Here is a 14,599-nt window from a genome sequence, read left to right as displayed (position 1 = left end):
TTAGTTAGAACAACCTTATTGGCCTCAGCTCTTATTATAAGGGATGAGGGGGAAGCCATATAAGAAGAAAGAGAAAGGAAAAGTGGGTAAGTCTTATGCTGGAAGAAGGAAGCTTACCTACTTATTCCTCTAATCACTGGGAAAGAGAGGTAAGGGTCTCCAGACTTCCACCACAGTTTTAACCAAGGACTTTTGTCTCATTAGATACTGGTATTCCACATAAAGTTTCTTTGAATAAAGGGTTCTGTTACTTAAAAAAAAAAATTTGAATTCCATGGGGCTATATTAGGAGTTATGAAAAGACAGTTTGTGCTGCCACCTGTCTTTGCAATTAAAGTTGTATTGGCAAAGAGCCATGCCATTAGTTTATGCATCATCTATGACTGCTTTTGTGACAAGGGTAAAATTGGTTAATTGTAATGGGGACCATATGTGACCCACAAACCTATAATATTTGTTAACTGGCTCTTGATAGAGAAAAGCTGACAGATAAAAATTTGCTGACCCCTGGTTCAGACAATATACTACAGAAATCTACATGAGCTCCCCCAATAACTTCAGGTCTCAATTCCTCAGGTTTTGGAAGTATCCTCTGATGCCACAGACTAGGCAAGATGCTCCTCTAATATGCCTCCACAGTTTGCTGACTCCTATCTTACTTCCTTAACACTTTATATTGTAAATACTCATTTACTTACCTGCTTTTCACAGGTTTAAGTTCAGTGGTAATGTCAGTCTTGTTCTGCATCATATCCTCAGTACACAGCATAGTGCCTGGGACATAACAAGTGCTTAAAAAGTGTTTGTTGAATAAATGATGTATATTGAAGATTCAATGCAACAAATATTTATTAAGTACTTATTACATGCTAGACACTTTTTGAAGTCATAAGAATACAGTAGCGAACAAAACAGGCTGAGATAATTGTTGTCATGGAGTTTACAATATACTGGAGAAAGCAAACTGAAAACAAGAAGAAAGCAAAATATGTTTGAGAATGATAATTATTAACAAGAAAACAATAATGCCAGGAAGGCATATAAAATGTTAGCTATGGGGATAGGAGGTGTTGGATTAAAACTTTACATAAAGTGGCCAGAGAGGAACTCAAGTGTGGAGGTAGCCATCAGCTAAAGACCTAAAGTTATTAATTAATGTAACCAATGATAATTTCAGTGAGATTTGGCACTGTGTGTAGAAAGGAGAAAATAATTCTAGGCAAAGAGAAGAAAATGAGAAACAGTTTTCATGTAGAAAAGACCTTGGCATATATAGGAAACTGAAAGACAGAAAGCCAACAGTTATATGATTCTACAATTCTTTAAAAAAGAATGATGAAGTGATTCAAATGTCACTAGTGCAAGTGCTTTCAAAGAAAGAAAAAAGAGATCAGAGTGTAAGTAGTTACAGATATCACGTAAAGACCTGAGTTATAGCACTTCACATCAGAATCAACTGGGATTCATTATGTGTTGAACTGCTATCGAAAGTCTATTATTTTCTTCTGTTTACTTTAAGATTGTTATAGATTCTATAGATGTATCAGTCCATTTACACACTGCTATAAAGAACTGCTTGAGACTGGGTAATTTATTAAAAAAATAAGAGGTTTAATTGACTTACATTCAGCATGGCTTTGCAGGCCTCAAGGAAACTTAGAATTATGATGGAAGGAGAAGGGGAAGCAAGGCACCTTCTTCACAAGGTGGCAGAAAGGAGAACGAATGCAGGAGGAACTACCAAGTACTTATAAAATCATCAGATCTCCTGAGAACTCACTCACTATCATGAGAGCAACATGGAGGAAACTGCCCCCATGATCCAATTACCACCACGTGGTCTCTTTCTTGACACATGGAAATTATGGGGATTATAGGAATTATAATTCAAGACGAGATTTGAATGGGGACACAAAGCCTAACCATAGCAATAGAGAAAATATCCAGGAAATGGTTAGGAATTGATAAACAGCAGTTTCTACTGATAGACTATAAACCCTAACTTCCTTGTACTGACTCCATTAAGGCAACTCAACAGTATAGTCTGAGTACATAGTCAAGCTGGGGGAGTGAGAAACTGCAGGCATTCGTTATTATGGTCTTTTATTCATATAATTTATGTTATTATAGAAATGGCTCACGGAAGAATTCGCCCCAAGAAATTTATCTTCCAAGAAAAGGGAGAAGATAAGTATGCAGATAGAGAAAGCATATGCTCTAATTAGAAGAAATGATATGAGGTATTGTGAAGTGTGTAGGTTCTGGGATCAGCATGACTGGGTTCAAATCTTGGATTCTGACACTTTCTATATGAACTTAGTCATTTATGTATCTAGTGTTTACCTCGGTTTTTTTGAAGGGAAAAATGATAATCGCCTCATCAGGTTACTTATGGTCTTAAAAAGAGTACCTTGAATGTGATAAGCACAATGTTATTGTTTCTTGTAAAATTATCATTGACTATATTAATTTTGGAATGTTTATTCGGTACTCAAATGAATGCATAAACTAGTCAGTTTGGGCTTCAGGGAGAGATTTAGGGGGAAGATATAATTTTGGTTGTCATATGCGTATAGATGTCATTTAAAGCTAAAAGAGTGCAGAAGGATAAAAGGGTATGTCTAAGGACTGAACTCTGGAGCACCCTAGCATTGAAAGATCTTAGAGATAAAGTCTGTGTTCAATATTCCCCAAATCGAGGTACAGATTCAATGTACTCCCAATCAAGATCCCACCTGCATTTTTTGCAGATATTGACAAGCTTATCTTAAAACTCACGTAAATTTAAAGGGCCTAGAACAGCCAAACCAATATTGTAAAAGAAAAGCAAACTTGAATGATTCTCCCTTTTGTATTTCAAAACTTACCACAAAGCCATAGCATTCAAGAAAGCATACTGCTTAGATACTTTTACATGTACTAATTGATAGAATAAAATTTAGAGAACAGGAATAAACTGATAAAGCTATGGTCAATTGATCATAGAAAAGGATGTCGCGATAATTCAATGAATCGTATTTTCAACAAATGGTGCTTGGACAACTGGACATCCACATGCAAATAAATGAATATAAATGCCAGAGTATACTTGGGAATTATGGAAGTTCTATCTAGAACAGAAAAATATTCACCAATGATTGGTGAACTAAAGGAAAAGAGATTTAATAGGGCTTCTCATACTCCCCAATTCTGTGTGAGGATCTGTGAGATTCGGTGTGAGGATCTGTGAGATTTTTCTGTAGACATCAAGGGCCATGTCTATATCATGTTAGGCTTTTTCCAAGATGGACACCTGTAGTGACAACAGATTTTGGCAGAGAAATTGTGGATATCAGAGTATGCCTAGGTCCTGAAGACAATGTTAGAAAAGAGCCAGAAGAAAGATTTTCATTCTCCCTTCTTTTGGTTACCATCCATCTGCTCTTTAATATCCTTCCTCCACTTGAAAAAAAAAGATCTTGGCATTTTCCAGAACATGGATGGACCAGGAGGACATCACACTAAGTTAAATAATCCAGACAGAAAGAAAAAGATTACCTGATCTCGTATGTGGACTATATAAATAAGGGGTCCAATAGACAGAGGTGGAGAATGAAACATTGGGGGTGGGAGAAGAAATGGGGAGATGTAAGTCAAAGGATACAAAATACCAGATATGTAGGATGAACAAGTCTAGTGATCTAATGTACAGGGGGACTAAAGCTAATGAAATTATATCATGAATTTTTTTAAATAAGTAGATTTTAGCTGCTATTGTCACACACTTAAAAAAGTGAGAAGAGAGGTATGCTAATCATTTTTACCATTGTAACCATTTTACTTTATATATATATCCCATAATGACATGTTGTAAACCTCAAATATACAAAATAAAATTTCTTTAAAATAAACATTAAAAATCCATCACACTTCTGTATACTAACATTGAACATGTGGAAATAAAAATTAAACACATGATACTATTTACAGTCACTTGAAAGAAAATGTAATCCTAAGGTATAAATTAAACAAAACATGGACCAGAAGGTGGGTACAAAAATTAAAAATCCAAATATCTTTCTTAAATTTATATAATATAAAAATATATCTGACAAGGGAGGAACAGATTAGACATACATAGATGCATCTTAAAAACAGGCCTGAGTGGAACATTAAGTATTGACAATGGATATATACATTGAAAACAAATGTCCACAAACAATAAAAAAAACATGTATTGACACTCATACAAAGAAAAGGATACACATCAAATGCATTACAATGATTGCCAATGAAGACAAGGGGAATAAAACTGGGCCATGGAAATAAAGGAGAGTGAATGAGTAAATAAACAGGAGAGGGTCTTGAGCAATTAACTCAAGGAATATAACTCAGCCCTCTACATTGATGCCAAAACCATTCTATTGTATTTCCTCCAATAAAAACGATATTTTCTTTTAGGGGAAGTTTTTTTTTTTTTTTTTTTTTTGAGACAGAGTCTCACTCTGTCGTCCATGCTGGAGTGCAGTGGTGCCATCTCGGTTCACTGCAAGCTCTGTCTCTAGGGGAAGAATTCTTAATCATTGACATTCTACAGAAATGCTGGTGTATGGAAGTGGTGATAAAAATACCAGATTTTACTTGTATTCTTGTGTTAAAATTCCCTGTAGACAATGCTTCTGTTTGTTGCCTGCAGTAGACACAGGCCACTCCCAGTGCCCCACACTTGGTAGGTGACTGCTCCACCTAGAGTTTCTTAACAAGCGCCCTAGTATTGGAAGCATGTCCTCCAAACACCATTATTTTATTGTGTGTGGCATGCTGTCTTACTTTCTGTAGGGTGAGGTTCTTGTTCCTTTTGAGGACCTTCAGTTGCTCACAGCATTGGGTGAGTTACAAAACACACCACTCTGAGGTATGTGGCCTGAAGGTGGTGATTCTGATGTCTTCATTTTGGAAAGAGTGTCACTGTCACCTACATACAATACAGATCTTCTTATGTGCTCTTCTAAACATGCACGTGCTCCAAGGAACACCAAATCCTTTTCTTCCTCTCCTGTGAGATAAAATTTTAAGAAGAAAATTTGTCTCCAGGAATCAGTCCTCCCCCAGTCTTTATTTACAATGTCTGGCTAACCTGTGGATCTGTCCGCCAATGCTACAGGATCTCATATCCCTCCGTTCTCAAATGCCTATCTTTTCCCTTCCCTTCCTCCCCACCATCAGAAAAAAAGGCAGAGGTATACACAGTCATCAGCTCCTCAAACTGATTTTATTGTAATCATCGCCATCAGTGGTGATGATTTGTCCAATTTGGACTAATTCTGCCCACCATCCTGTGGAGATCCTGCAGATATGTCTAGGTCTCCTTTCTCTTTGATTGGATCAGTGGAGCTCTCTGTAGGCTGGTTATTCTCCAGTTGATTTGAATTTCTTTTCTTATTCTTCCTGCAGTAAAACACTAATGTTGGATATTTTGCTTTTTCTGTCTCTTTCAAACTCTGTTCAGGGGCTGAGGCTCTGTGCAGATTCTTCTTCTTCTGGTAAAAAAACAGGGAGAGGCCAGAATGGTGTTATTTTGGATGAAGAGGGTAGAGAATAGATAGCAAGGGGGGCTTTATAAGAAGGAATGCAGGTTGAGGAAGGGGCTTGTGCCAGAGAAGAGCAAGGTGGAATCATAGGGTAGGGATCTATGGGGAAGAAGAGGAGCATGGGTAGGGTCATCTGTGTTACTCCAAACTGCATGACTTTGTAAGCTCCCTGCTATTATGCAGACCTCGGTCAAAGTGAAACATTCCATGGGGGTTCAGGCCATGAGAAACATCCTGTCTAACCACTTGACTACAAGGTGGACAAAGGCCCAACTAAGAAACATTGCTATCATATCTTTCTGGGCAAAGGTCCAAGAAACACCACAATGACATCCCACAGGAAAAAGGGTCAAACCACCTGATCATAAGAATATCTTATCAATATCCTGCCAGGCAGCATCCCATACTGCCCAGCTGCCTCCCACCAATACCTGTAAGTACCCCAGCCTGTAAGTGGTAGTGGGCTCTGGCATTAAGCTGGTCCCCCACTTCTGCAGCTGTCGGCAATATACCTGTGTTGCTGTTTGAGTGGTCCCCTCTTTGTGTGTCTTTAACCCTTGCCTTCCCTTCAAAACCTAACATTTTGGTGCCAAAACCCAGGATGGGGATTGAGTTCTACCAGGTAAGTCTTCTTTGCATCCTGGAAGGCAGCAAGCAGCAAAAACTAGACCTGAGCCTGCTTCCATATCCTGAGTGGACTACCTGTTCCCAGCCCCGTTCTCCTTATTCTCTCATTTTCTCCAGTCCTGGGCTGACCTCTAGGTCCTGATCAAACTCTCCATCCTCTGCTTCCTTACCCTTTCTGGGTGGCTCCAGTAAGGATCACCCCCATTGCTGGATCTTACATCCAACACCAGTCTCCAGTTAGTGGGTGAATCTCCCTTTTCCTCCTTTCCAGATTTTTCTCTATTTCTGCTGGTTCTCCAGAAAATCCTAGCACTGAGTTGGAGGTCTCCCTGGTCACCAGGTGACCGCAGCCTGCCTTCTCAGGGGACACCTTCAGAACGCTCACCACTCCAGCCACTCTGGCCTCTAGGGGACTGTGAAGAGCTGCCACAGCTCTTTGGTACATCCCAGCTCTCCTACGTCCATTCTCCTGGGAGGAATTGGGTAGTCACTTTTCTCCGGGGTATTCACTCCCCTTCTGGGCACTCACTCTTTTCTGGGATATTAACTCCCTTCTGAGGTACTTGCTTCCCTCTGGGGTATTCACTACCCTCTGGAGATACTCATTCCCTTCAGGGGTATGCACTCCCCTCCTCCAAACAACAAAACTTTCAACTTCCAAATTGAACATAATCTAAAAACTTTCTCTAATGCAATGGTAAAGGATCAAAAGTGCTTTGCTTATCTCCGTTCATGGATTGCTCTCTCTCTCTGCCAATCTTTTTCCCCTTTTCAAATCCTCCTCCTCAATGAAAAACCCGCAAAAATGCCTCCTCCTCAGGACAAGCCTTTCTCCTCTAATTTCAGCCTGGTTAAAAAAACCCCTATCTCAGTCCCCCTCCCAACATCATTTCCTCCTTCTTCTCCTTTGGCTCTGGCTCCTCCACCCCTTTACTGTCGCCCTCCATCCCCTCTTCGTTCTCCACCACAAACCAGGTCTCACACCCACCCCCCTAGTGCTGAAAACCAGGCACACACCCAAAGGCCTTCCAAAGCCCTTCCCTTGCAGGAGATCATGAGGGACAAAAGCATAATCTGAGATCATGTTCCCATCTCTCTAGCCAGCCTCTCCCATTTTAAAAGAGACTTGGCTCCTTTATCCAAGGATCCCATCTCTTTCCACAAGGAATTTTTGTATGCCACTCAATCTTACGACCTTACCTGGCAAGACACGTATGTCATGCTCTCCTCCACCCTCTCCCCAGAAGACAGGGAATGCATCTGGATGGCTGTCTATGCCAATGCAAACACCCTCCACCAACAACATGCTGCCCATAACCCAATAGGGACCCTAGCTGTCCCCAGGACTTACACCAATTGGAATTATCAGGCAACTTCTGCAGACAGACAAAAACAAGGCCATACGATATCATGCCTTCTAGCTGGCATAAATAAAGCTGCCCATGCTCTTTTCCTCTACTGCCTTTCAAAAGCCCTGATACCAATAAGGGCAAAATCCACCTTCATTTACACTTTATCTCCCAGTCAGCCCCCGACATCCAAAAGAAACTTAAAAAAACTGGAGGATGGCCCTCAAACCTCCCAAAGACACTTAATTGAAGTGGCATTTGAGGTCTTTAATAATAGAGAAGAAGAACTAAAAACACAAAAAAGGACCAGGCTAAATACCAAATGCTGGCAGCTGCCATTCAACAGGGTTCCCAATTCATACAGAAGTCCTCAGTGTTACAACAGTCACTGCCAGGAGCCTGTTATAAGTGCAACCAACAGGGACATTGGGCAAAAGCCTGCCCTAATCCCAGGACACCCAGGAAACCTCGCCCCATCTGTGTTATCAAGGAACACTGAAAGTCAGACTGTGCTCAGGAAAACTTTTCATCCCGCTTGCTTCATAACCTCTAACTGAAGACTGACAGGGCCTGGAGTCTGCCCCCACCCCCCTACCACCATCACCACCTCAGAACCCAGGATAACACTGTCAGTCTCTAGTAAGCCCGTGTCTTTCCTATTGGATACAGGGGATAGTTATTCAGTTTTACCAGAATATTCTGGACCTCTCCTCAGTTCCTCTGTCTCTATCGTGAAAGTCAATGAAATCCCCTCTAGGCACAATCAGACTGGTCCTTTATTATACAATCTATTCAACACCCTCCTTCACCACTCCTTCCTGGTTATCCCTCAGTGCCCTACCCCTATCTTGGGGTGGGAAAGTTAAGTAAATTCCAGAACTCCATGCAATGCGGCTCCTACAATTCTACTTTTATTTTACTCTGCCACCAAAATGCTTCCCTCTCCTCCCCCTCATCTTCATTATCCACCGTTACCTTCTGTTAATTCTAAAGTTTGGAACGTTTCTAAACCCACAATAGCCACACACAACATCCCAGTTAAAATAACCCTTCAATCTCCTCCACTTTCCTTCATCAGTCTCAATATCCCCTTAACCCAGCTGGCCTCAGGGCCCTCAAGCCTATTATCTGTAAAGTTTAACAAGCTCAGATTCTCAAGTCTGTCAACTTTCGCTACAACATGCCTATCCTGGCTGTCCAAAAGACAGATGGATCTTGCCTGTTGGTCCAAGATCTTGGAGTTGTTAACCAGGTGATGGTACCAATTCATTAGGTGGTCCCCAACCCATATACTTTACTCTCCCATATTGCCCCATCTACCATACACTTCTCTGAATTGGATCTAAAAGATGCCTTTTTCACTATTCCCTTAAATCTGGCTTCCCAAAGTTTTTTTTTTTTTGCTTTCATGTAGTCAAATCCTAATACTCACACTTTCACCCAACTGACATGGACCATACTCCCACAGGGGTTCCAGGATAGCCCCCACCTATTCAGACAGGCCCTCATCGAGGACCTAGCTGAACTTCCCCTTCATTTTAGCACCCTCCTCCAATATGTCAATGACCTCCTTCTCTGTAGTCCCTCCCATAACCTGTCAGTCCAACACATCACTAAGGTTTTAAACTTCCTCCATAATTGAGGATGTCGGGTGTCACCCACAAAAGCTCAGATAGCCCAAACCCAGGTTACTTACCTTGCGTTTCTCCTACCCCCTAATTCTTGGGCCATCCCAACCCAACAAAATGAGCTAATTCAGGACATGCCCCTTCCCTACACCAAAAAGGACCTCTTCTCCTTCTTGAGCCTTGTGGGATACTTCCAGCTGTGCATTCCCACCTTTGACTTGCTGGCCAAGCTGCTTTACACGGCCTCACATGGGCCCATCTTAAAACACCTGAACCCAGCTTGCCCCATCAACTCCCACTTAAAAAAAAAACAAACTAAAAAATGCCCTTTTAAGGGCCCTGTCAGTGGGACTGCCTAACCCCACTAAGCCCTTTACTTTGTATGTACATTCTGACCAAGGCCTTGCTCTTGGACTACTCTGCCAAATATACGGCGACGCCCCAGAAGCCGTTGCATACCTCTCAAAACAACTGGACTCTGTCATCCAAGGCTGGTCACTCTGACTAAAAATCTTGGGTGTGTCCACATTGCTGGCCTTAGAGGTACAGAAACTCCCTCTTTACCAACACATTACTAGTGCATCTTCCCATTACCTACAGGACCTCATAAACTGTGAATCCCTTCCATCCCTCCCATCATCCCACTTATAGCAGGTACATGCCTTACTCATAGGTAACCCTCTAATCACCTTCCAGAGATATAAAACTCTCAACCTGAACACCCTCCTCCCTGTTAATATCTCTAACTCTAAGCTCTCTCACTCCTGCCTGGACCTCTTAAACTTCCTCTCCTCCCGCTTCCAACATATTTCAAAAGCTCCTTTGCGGGGAACGCCTACATGGTTCATTAATGGAAGCTCTTTAAGGGAGCCATGTCCAGCAGCTGTCCACGTCACCATTACCAAAACTGAGCTCCTAGAATCCAATGCTCTCCCACTCCATACTACCTTTCAACAGGCAAAGCTAGTAGCCCTAACCCAGGATCTCACCCTAGCAAACGGAAAGAGAGTTAACATTCACACCAATTCCAAATATGCGTGGTACATCCTACACTCTCACACCTTAATCTGGCAGGAAAGGGGTTTTCTAACTACAAAAGGAACCCTCATAAGAAATAGGAAACTTGCACACAAGCTGCTGGAGGTGGCTAACCTACCACCGCAGGCCACCATTATCCATTGAAAGGGACACCAAAAGGCTACAGATGCCATAACAAAGGGAAACTTCTAAACACGTTCAGCAGCCTGGCAGGCAGCCCTTAAAATTTCATCATTATTACCCATTTTTCCCAGCATACAACCTGTATATACCCACGCGGAACAAACCCCACTTGCCCGGGCTGGCACCATTCAGGAAAAAATAGTTCTACCTCAATGATGAAAGTGTCTTGTCCAAGTATTAAAAACCTTCTGTACTTTTATACGTGCGCAACCATTTCCATGCCAGTTACTGCCCCTACTCCAGCTTTTAAAAGCTTAAATACATTCTTCGACCATGGCTGCCAATCTGAAAGATATTACTAAGACATGTTCCCTTTGCACTTAAACTTCCCCTCAGGAAGCTATCAAACCATCTCCTTTCCCACACACCAGGCCTGAGGACACACACCAGGGCAGGACTAACAAATCAGCTTCACCCACATGCCTCCCAACAAATGATTCCTATACCTTCTGCTAATAGTAGATACATTCTCTGGATGGATAAAAGCTTTTCCTACCACCACCGAAAAGGCACACCCCATCACTTCTATTCTCTTCACTCATATTATCCACAGGTTTAAACTCCCCTCTTGGATTCAGTCAGACAATGGGCCAACATTTGTTTCACAGGCTAACCAACAGCTGGCAAAGGCTCTAAACATTAAGTGGGCCTTCCATATTCCTTACCTCCCCTAATCTTCATGTAATTAAAAAACAAACAAACAAACAAAAACTCCCTAGAGGTTAAAACGGCCCAGGCTTCACTTCTCTTACTGGTCCTCATGCATTTATGAGCCATTTCCTCAAATCCCCTCAGCCTAAGCCCTATTATCCCCAGCCCAAAAGTCCATCCTCAAAACACTCCTCCCTGTCCCTACAACCAGGGGACTGGGTCTGAATCGCAGACTCCTCCTCCTCCCCTCTCCAACCTAAGTGGACGGGTCCTCAGCAGGTTATCCTAACTACTCACACAGTGGCAAAGCTAACATCCTTCCCACACTGAATACACCATTCCAAACTAAAAAGAGCACCAGATCCACATCTAGAAATTTCCTCACCCCCAAATTACTCTCTCTCCCTCACAGGACCAACCTCACTGCACTTAACAAGAATTCCAGAAGTTGCCAATCCAGAATGCCCTAGTGCATAACAGTCTCCATCTCCAATTTCCAATCTTTTATCTCCTACTTTATTTCAGATCTTTCCTGGTGTCCCTTCCCCATGTCCCTGGATAGCCCATGCCAATTTCCCACAGTAATGCAGGAGGTATGACTGCAGGGCGCCTTCCAAAATTTCACTCCTACTCAAATCTCCTTTTTCTCCTTTTGCCCTTTTTGTCTGTGGAATATTCTAAGTCCCCACCCCCAACCTCTAACAGTTGAGCCCCCTTCATCAGCCTAACACATTGCCTCTTAAATCAGTCACACTCCCTCCCGTCTTTCTTCCAACTGTTAAATTTGTTTGTCCACACAAATCCAGCAGTTCACAGCCCTTCCTTTCAAACTGGCCACGTAAACCCAGTCCAAAATAAACCTGCATCTCACCTACTTGGCCAATTCATTCTCAAAACCTGTTTATAATCTTGCTCAGCTAAACACCTTTCTCCCCAGTCTATCAGATCCACCCACACTGTCACACACAGGGCTGTCACCCTCCTTCGCCTCATAGCCAGCCTCTTAACTGAACACGATACAAGCTGGATCCCATAAAACACCTCTTACCAACCCCTCCCCTCTCTGCCAGAGCCGCTCTTCATGTATCCAACTCAACAGCGCTCCCTGGAAAAAATGCACAAACAATTCCCTCAACTGCAACCTATATCCTTCTGCCATATCAGGACCGCAATGACTATTAGTTACAAAAACCCATTTATCTCTCTCTCTCCAAAACCAAACAGCCTTCAACTCCTCCCCCACCAGCATTTTCTGTCATGCCCTCACAGGGCCTACCCTTGCTGGCAGCTATTCAACTTGGAAAAGCATAAAAGTTAAAACAAAGGGTTTGTGCAGAATTCAACCCCCATCTTCTCATGACTTGCCACCATAAGCTACAACTTTTGTCTGTCCACCCCCAGTGTCTTCTTCCTTTGTGGCACAAACTCTTATCTCTGCCTACTGGCCAATTGGTCAGGAACATGCACCCTTGTGTTTCAGTCTAAACGTTAACATTTTGCCTCACAAGCAGACCATCCGGTTTCCTTTAGTAGCTTCTGTCTCATCTTCCTCCACACACACTAAGCAGGCTCTACATTTCATTCTAGTGTTAGCAGAACTAAACATCTCTGCTGCACTCAGCACTGGGATAGCAGGGGGCCGCTTTCTTAGGTCCCCTAATCTTTCTCCTCCAAATACTACAATTGGCCCATGTATACTCACCTTCATATCCCTCTTTATCTCCCTAAAGCTAAACTCCCCTGTCCAGGCAGCCACCCAGCAACACATTGATACCATCCTTCTCCGCTGCCAAGTCCGGTACCAGTGCCTCCAGGAAAACAACTCTGAAGTCCAACACCCACTGCTTCAAAACCCAAACCCTGAATACAGCTCCCCTATTCAGCAGCAAGCAGCCAGATAATCAACCACGTCCCTCTTCCTTTTATGATAAAGTAGAAGGCAAGAATATCAGTCTAAACTGCACTCTCTTGTAAGCTCCCTTCTATTTTGTAGACCTTGGTCAAAGTGAAACATTCCACGGGAGTTCTGGCCGTGAGAAAAATCCCGCCTAACTGCCTGACCATGAGGTGGATAAAGGCCCATCTAAAAAAACATCCCTATCATATCTTGTTGGGGAAAAAGGTCCAAGCAACACCATGATGACATCCCACCAGAAAAAGGGCCAAACTGCCTGATCATAACAACATCTTATCAATATTCCGCCGAGCAGCCAGCCATACTGCCCAAACCTCTCCCACCCATACCTATAAGTACGCTGGCCTGTATGTAGCGGTGGGCTCTGGCATGAAGCTGGCCCCACATTTCTGCAGGTGTCTGCAGTATACCCGTGTTGCTGTTTGACCCGCGCCCTATCTGTGTGTCTTTCTTTCACCCTCACCTTCCCTTCAAAACCTAACAATCTGACCTTGTCAACTTTTCTTTTGTTAGATTCACAGGGGCTCTTCATTTTATTCTCGTTGGTGCTGGAAGTTGGCTCTTCCATGATTATGGTTGGTTGTAGAATTTCTGTACTAGGATCTTCTAGGGTGCAGATTTCCACAGCTGTATTGAAGCTTTCCAGTGGGCTGTCCCAGAGCTTTTGCCCACCCTGTATATATACCCTCCTGGGAGCAAGACGAAGCCACACCCTTGAGCTTTGTTTGATCATACAGGCAGTGTCCCAGCCAATGGTAGTCCTAGGGTGGCTTTGGCATCACAAAGAACCACCTCTGACAACTCCCTGGGTTTGTGGGGGAGGGGTGAAAGGGGTGTAGAGGAAACCAAATGCTGTTGTTGTTTCAGCATCCCCTGAAGATGCATCCCAAACTGATCTGCCTCCGCTCCTCATTTCTCCATGTTTAATGTTCATGGTTCACATGGAAGTGAGAGGATGATTCCTTCAAGCCCTTCCCCACAGCCATTCCTATTAAGTGATTCATTCTTTTGTCTTCCAACCCTCACCATGACCTAGTATTTTAGATGTCTCACCTCAAATCCCTCCAAGCTAGTGTGGCTACATTTAATTATTGGTGGAGATGTGAATTATCCCGCTTCCCTCCTGCAGTTCCTTCATATGCACCTTGAAGACCATTAACTTTCAGGTTTCTGCCAGGCAAATTTCAATCCATGTTCTTTTTTCCAATGTCCATGTAGTCCTCTTAAGTTTCCTATTTCTAGTCTGAAATCATGGCCTTCAGTCTGCCAGAACTTCAGTGAATAAACATCCTTACTGGGTATCCTAGTCTTGTTTCAAATCAGGGGTGTATGTTCATAGCAAATGTAGTCTCCCACAACATGGTTTTTACCAGTGTGTAGGGTTGGGGGAGGAGTGGGTACACATGTGCTGGAAGTTGTTCTGAGTGTTTACATGCAGAATACTATCTAACACCAACATGTACACCAGTGTGGGCATTGTTACATTTTGTAATGGAGATTGTGTCCAGTGCAAAAGAAAAACAAAAGGCATTTAGTGTGGAAGGGGAGAAGTAAAAGTATCCTTTGTCAAAGACCACATGAGAGCCTGTGTAGAAAAGTCGATCTAAAAAAAAAAAAAAAAAAAGGCTTTGACAATAA

General features: G+C 42.7%; 1 protein-coding gene across 3 annotated transcripts; it reads right to left on the bottom strand.

Annotated features, from left to right (window-relative positions):
• Positions 1-906: 906 nt before the first annotated feature.
• Positions 907-13,616, bottom strand: SPANXN4 (SPANX family member N4). Of its 3 annotated transcripts, none has more exons than XM_017029543.1 (4): positions 13,452-13,616; positions 5,312-5,519; positions 4,810-5,035; positions 907-964 (listed from the first exon to the last, which is right to left on the bottom strand). In XM_017029543.1, the coding sequence occupies exons 1-3, from the start codon at positions 13,527-13,529 to the stop codon at positions 4,848-4,850; spliced, it is 474 nt and encodes a 157-aa protein (XP_016885032.1). In that variant the 5' UTR covers positions 13,530-13,616; the 3' UTR covers positions 907-964; positions 4,810-4,847. The 3 variants fall into 3 exon arrangements, with proteins under 3 accessions (XP_016885032.1, XP_016885033.1, NP_001009613.1); XM_017029544.1 differs by having other exon boundaries at positions 5,312-5,516; NM_001009613.4 differs by lacking the exons at positions 907-964; positions 4,810-5,035 and having other exon boundaries at positions 5,233-5,519.

Source organism: Homo sapiens, chromosome X (genome assembly GCF_000001405.40).
Source record: "Homo sapiens chromosome X, GRCh38.p14 Primary Assembly".
Classification (NCBI taxonomy): Eukaryota; Metazoa; Chordata; class Mammalia; order Primates; family Hominidae; genus Homo; species Homo sapiens.
Note: the sequence above shows the minus strand (reverse complement) of the source record. Positions and strands in the feature narration are given on the sequence as shown.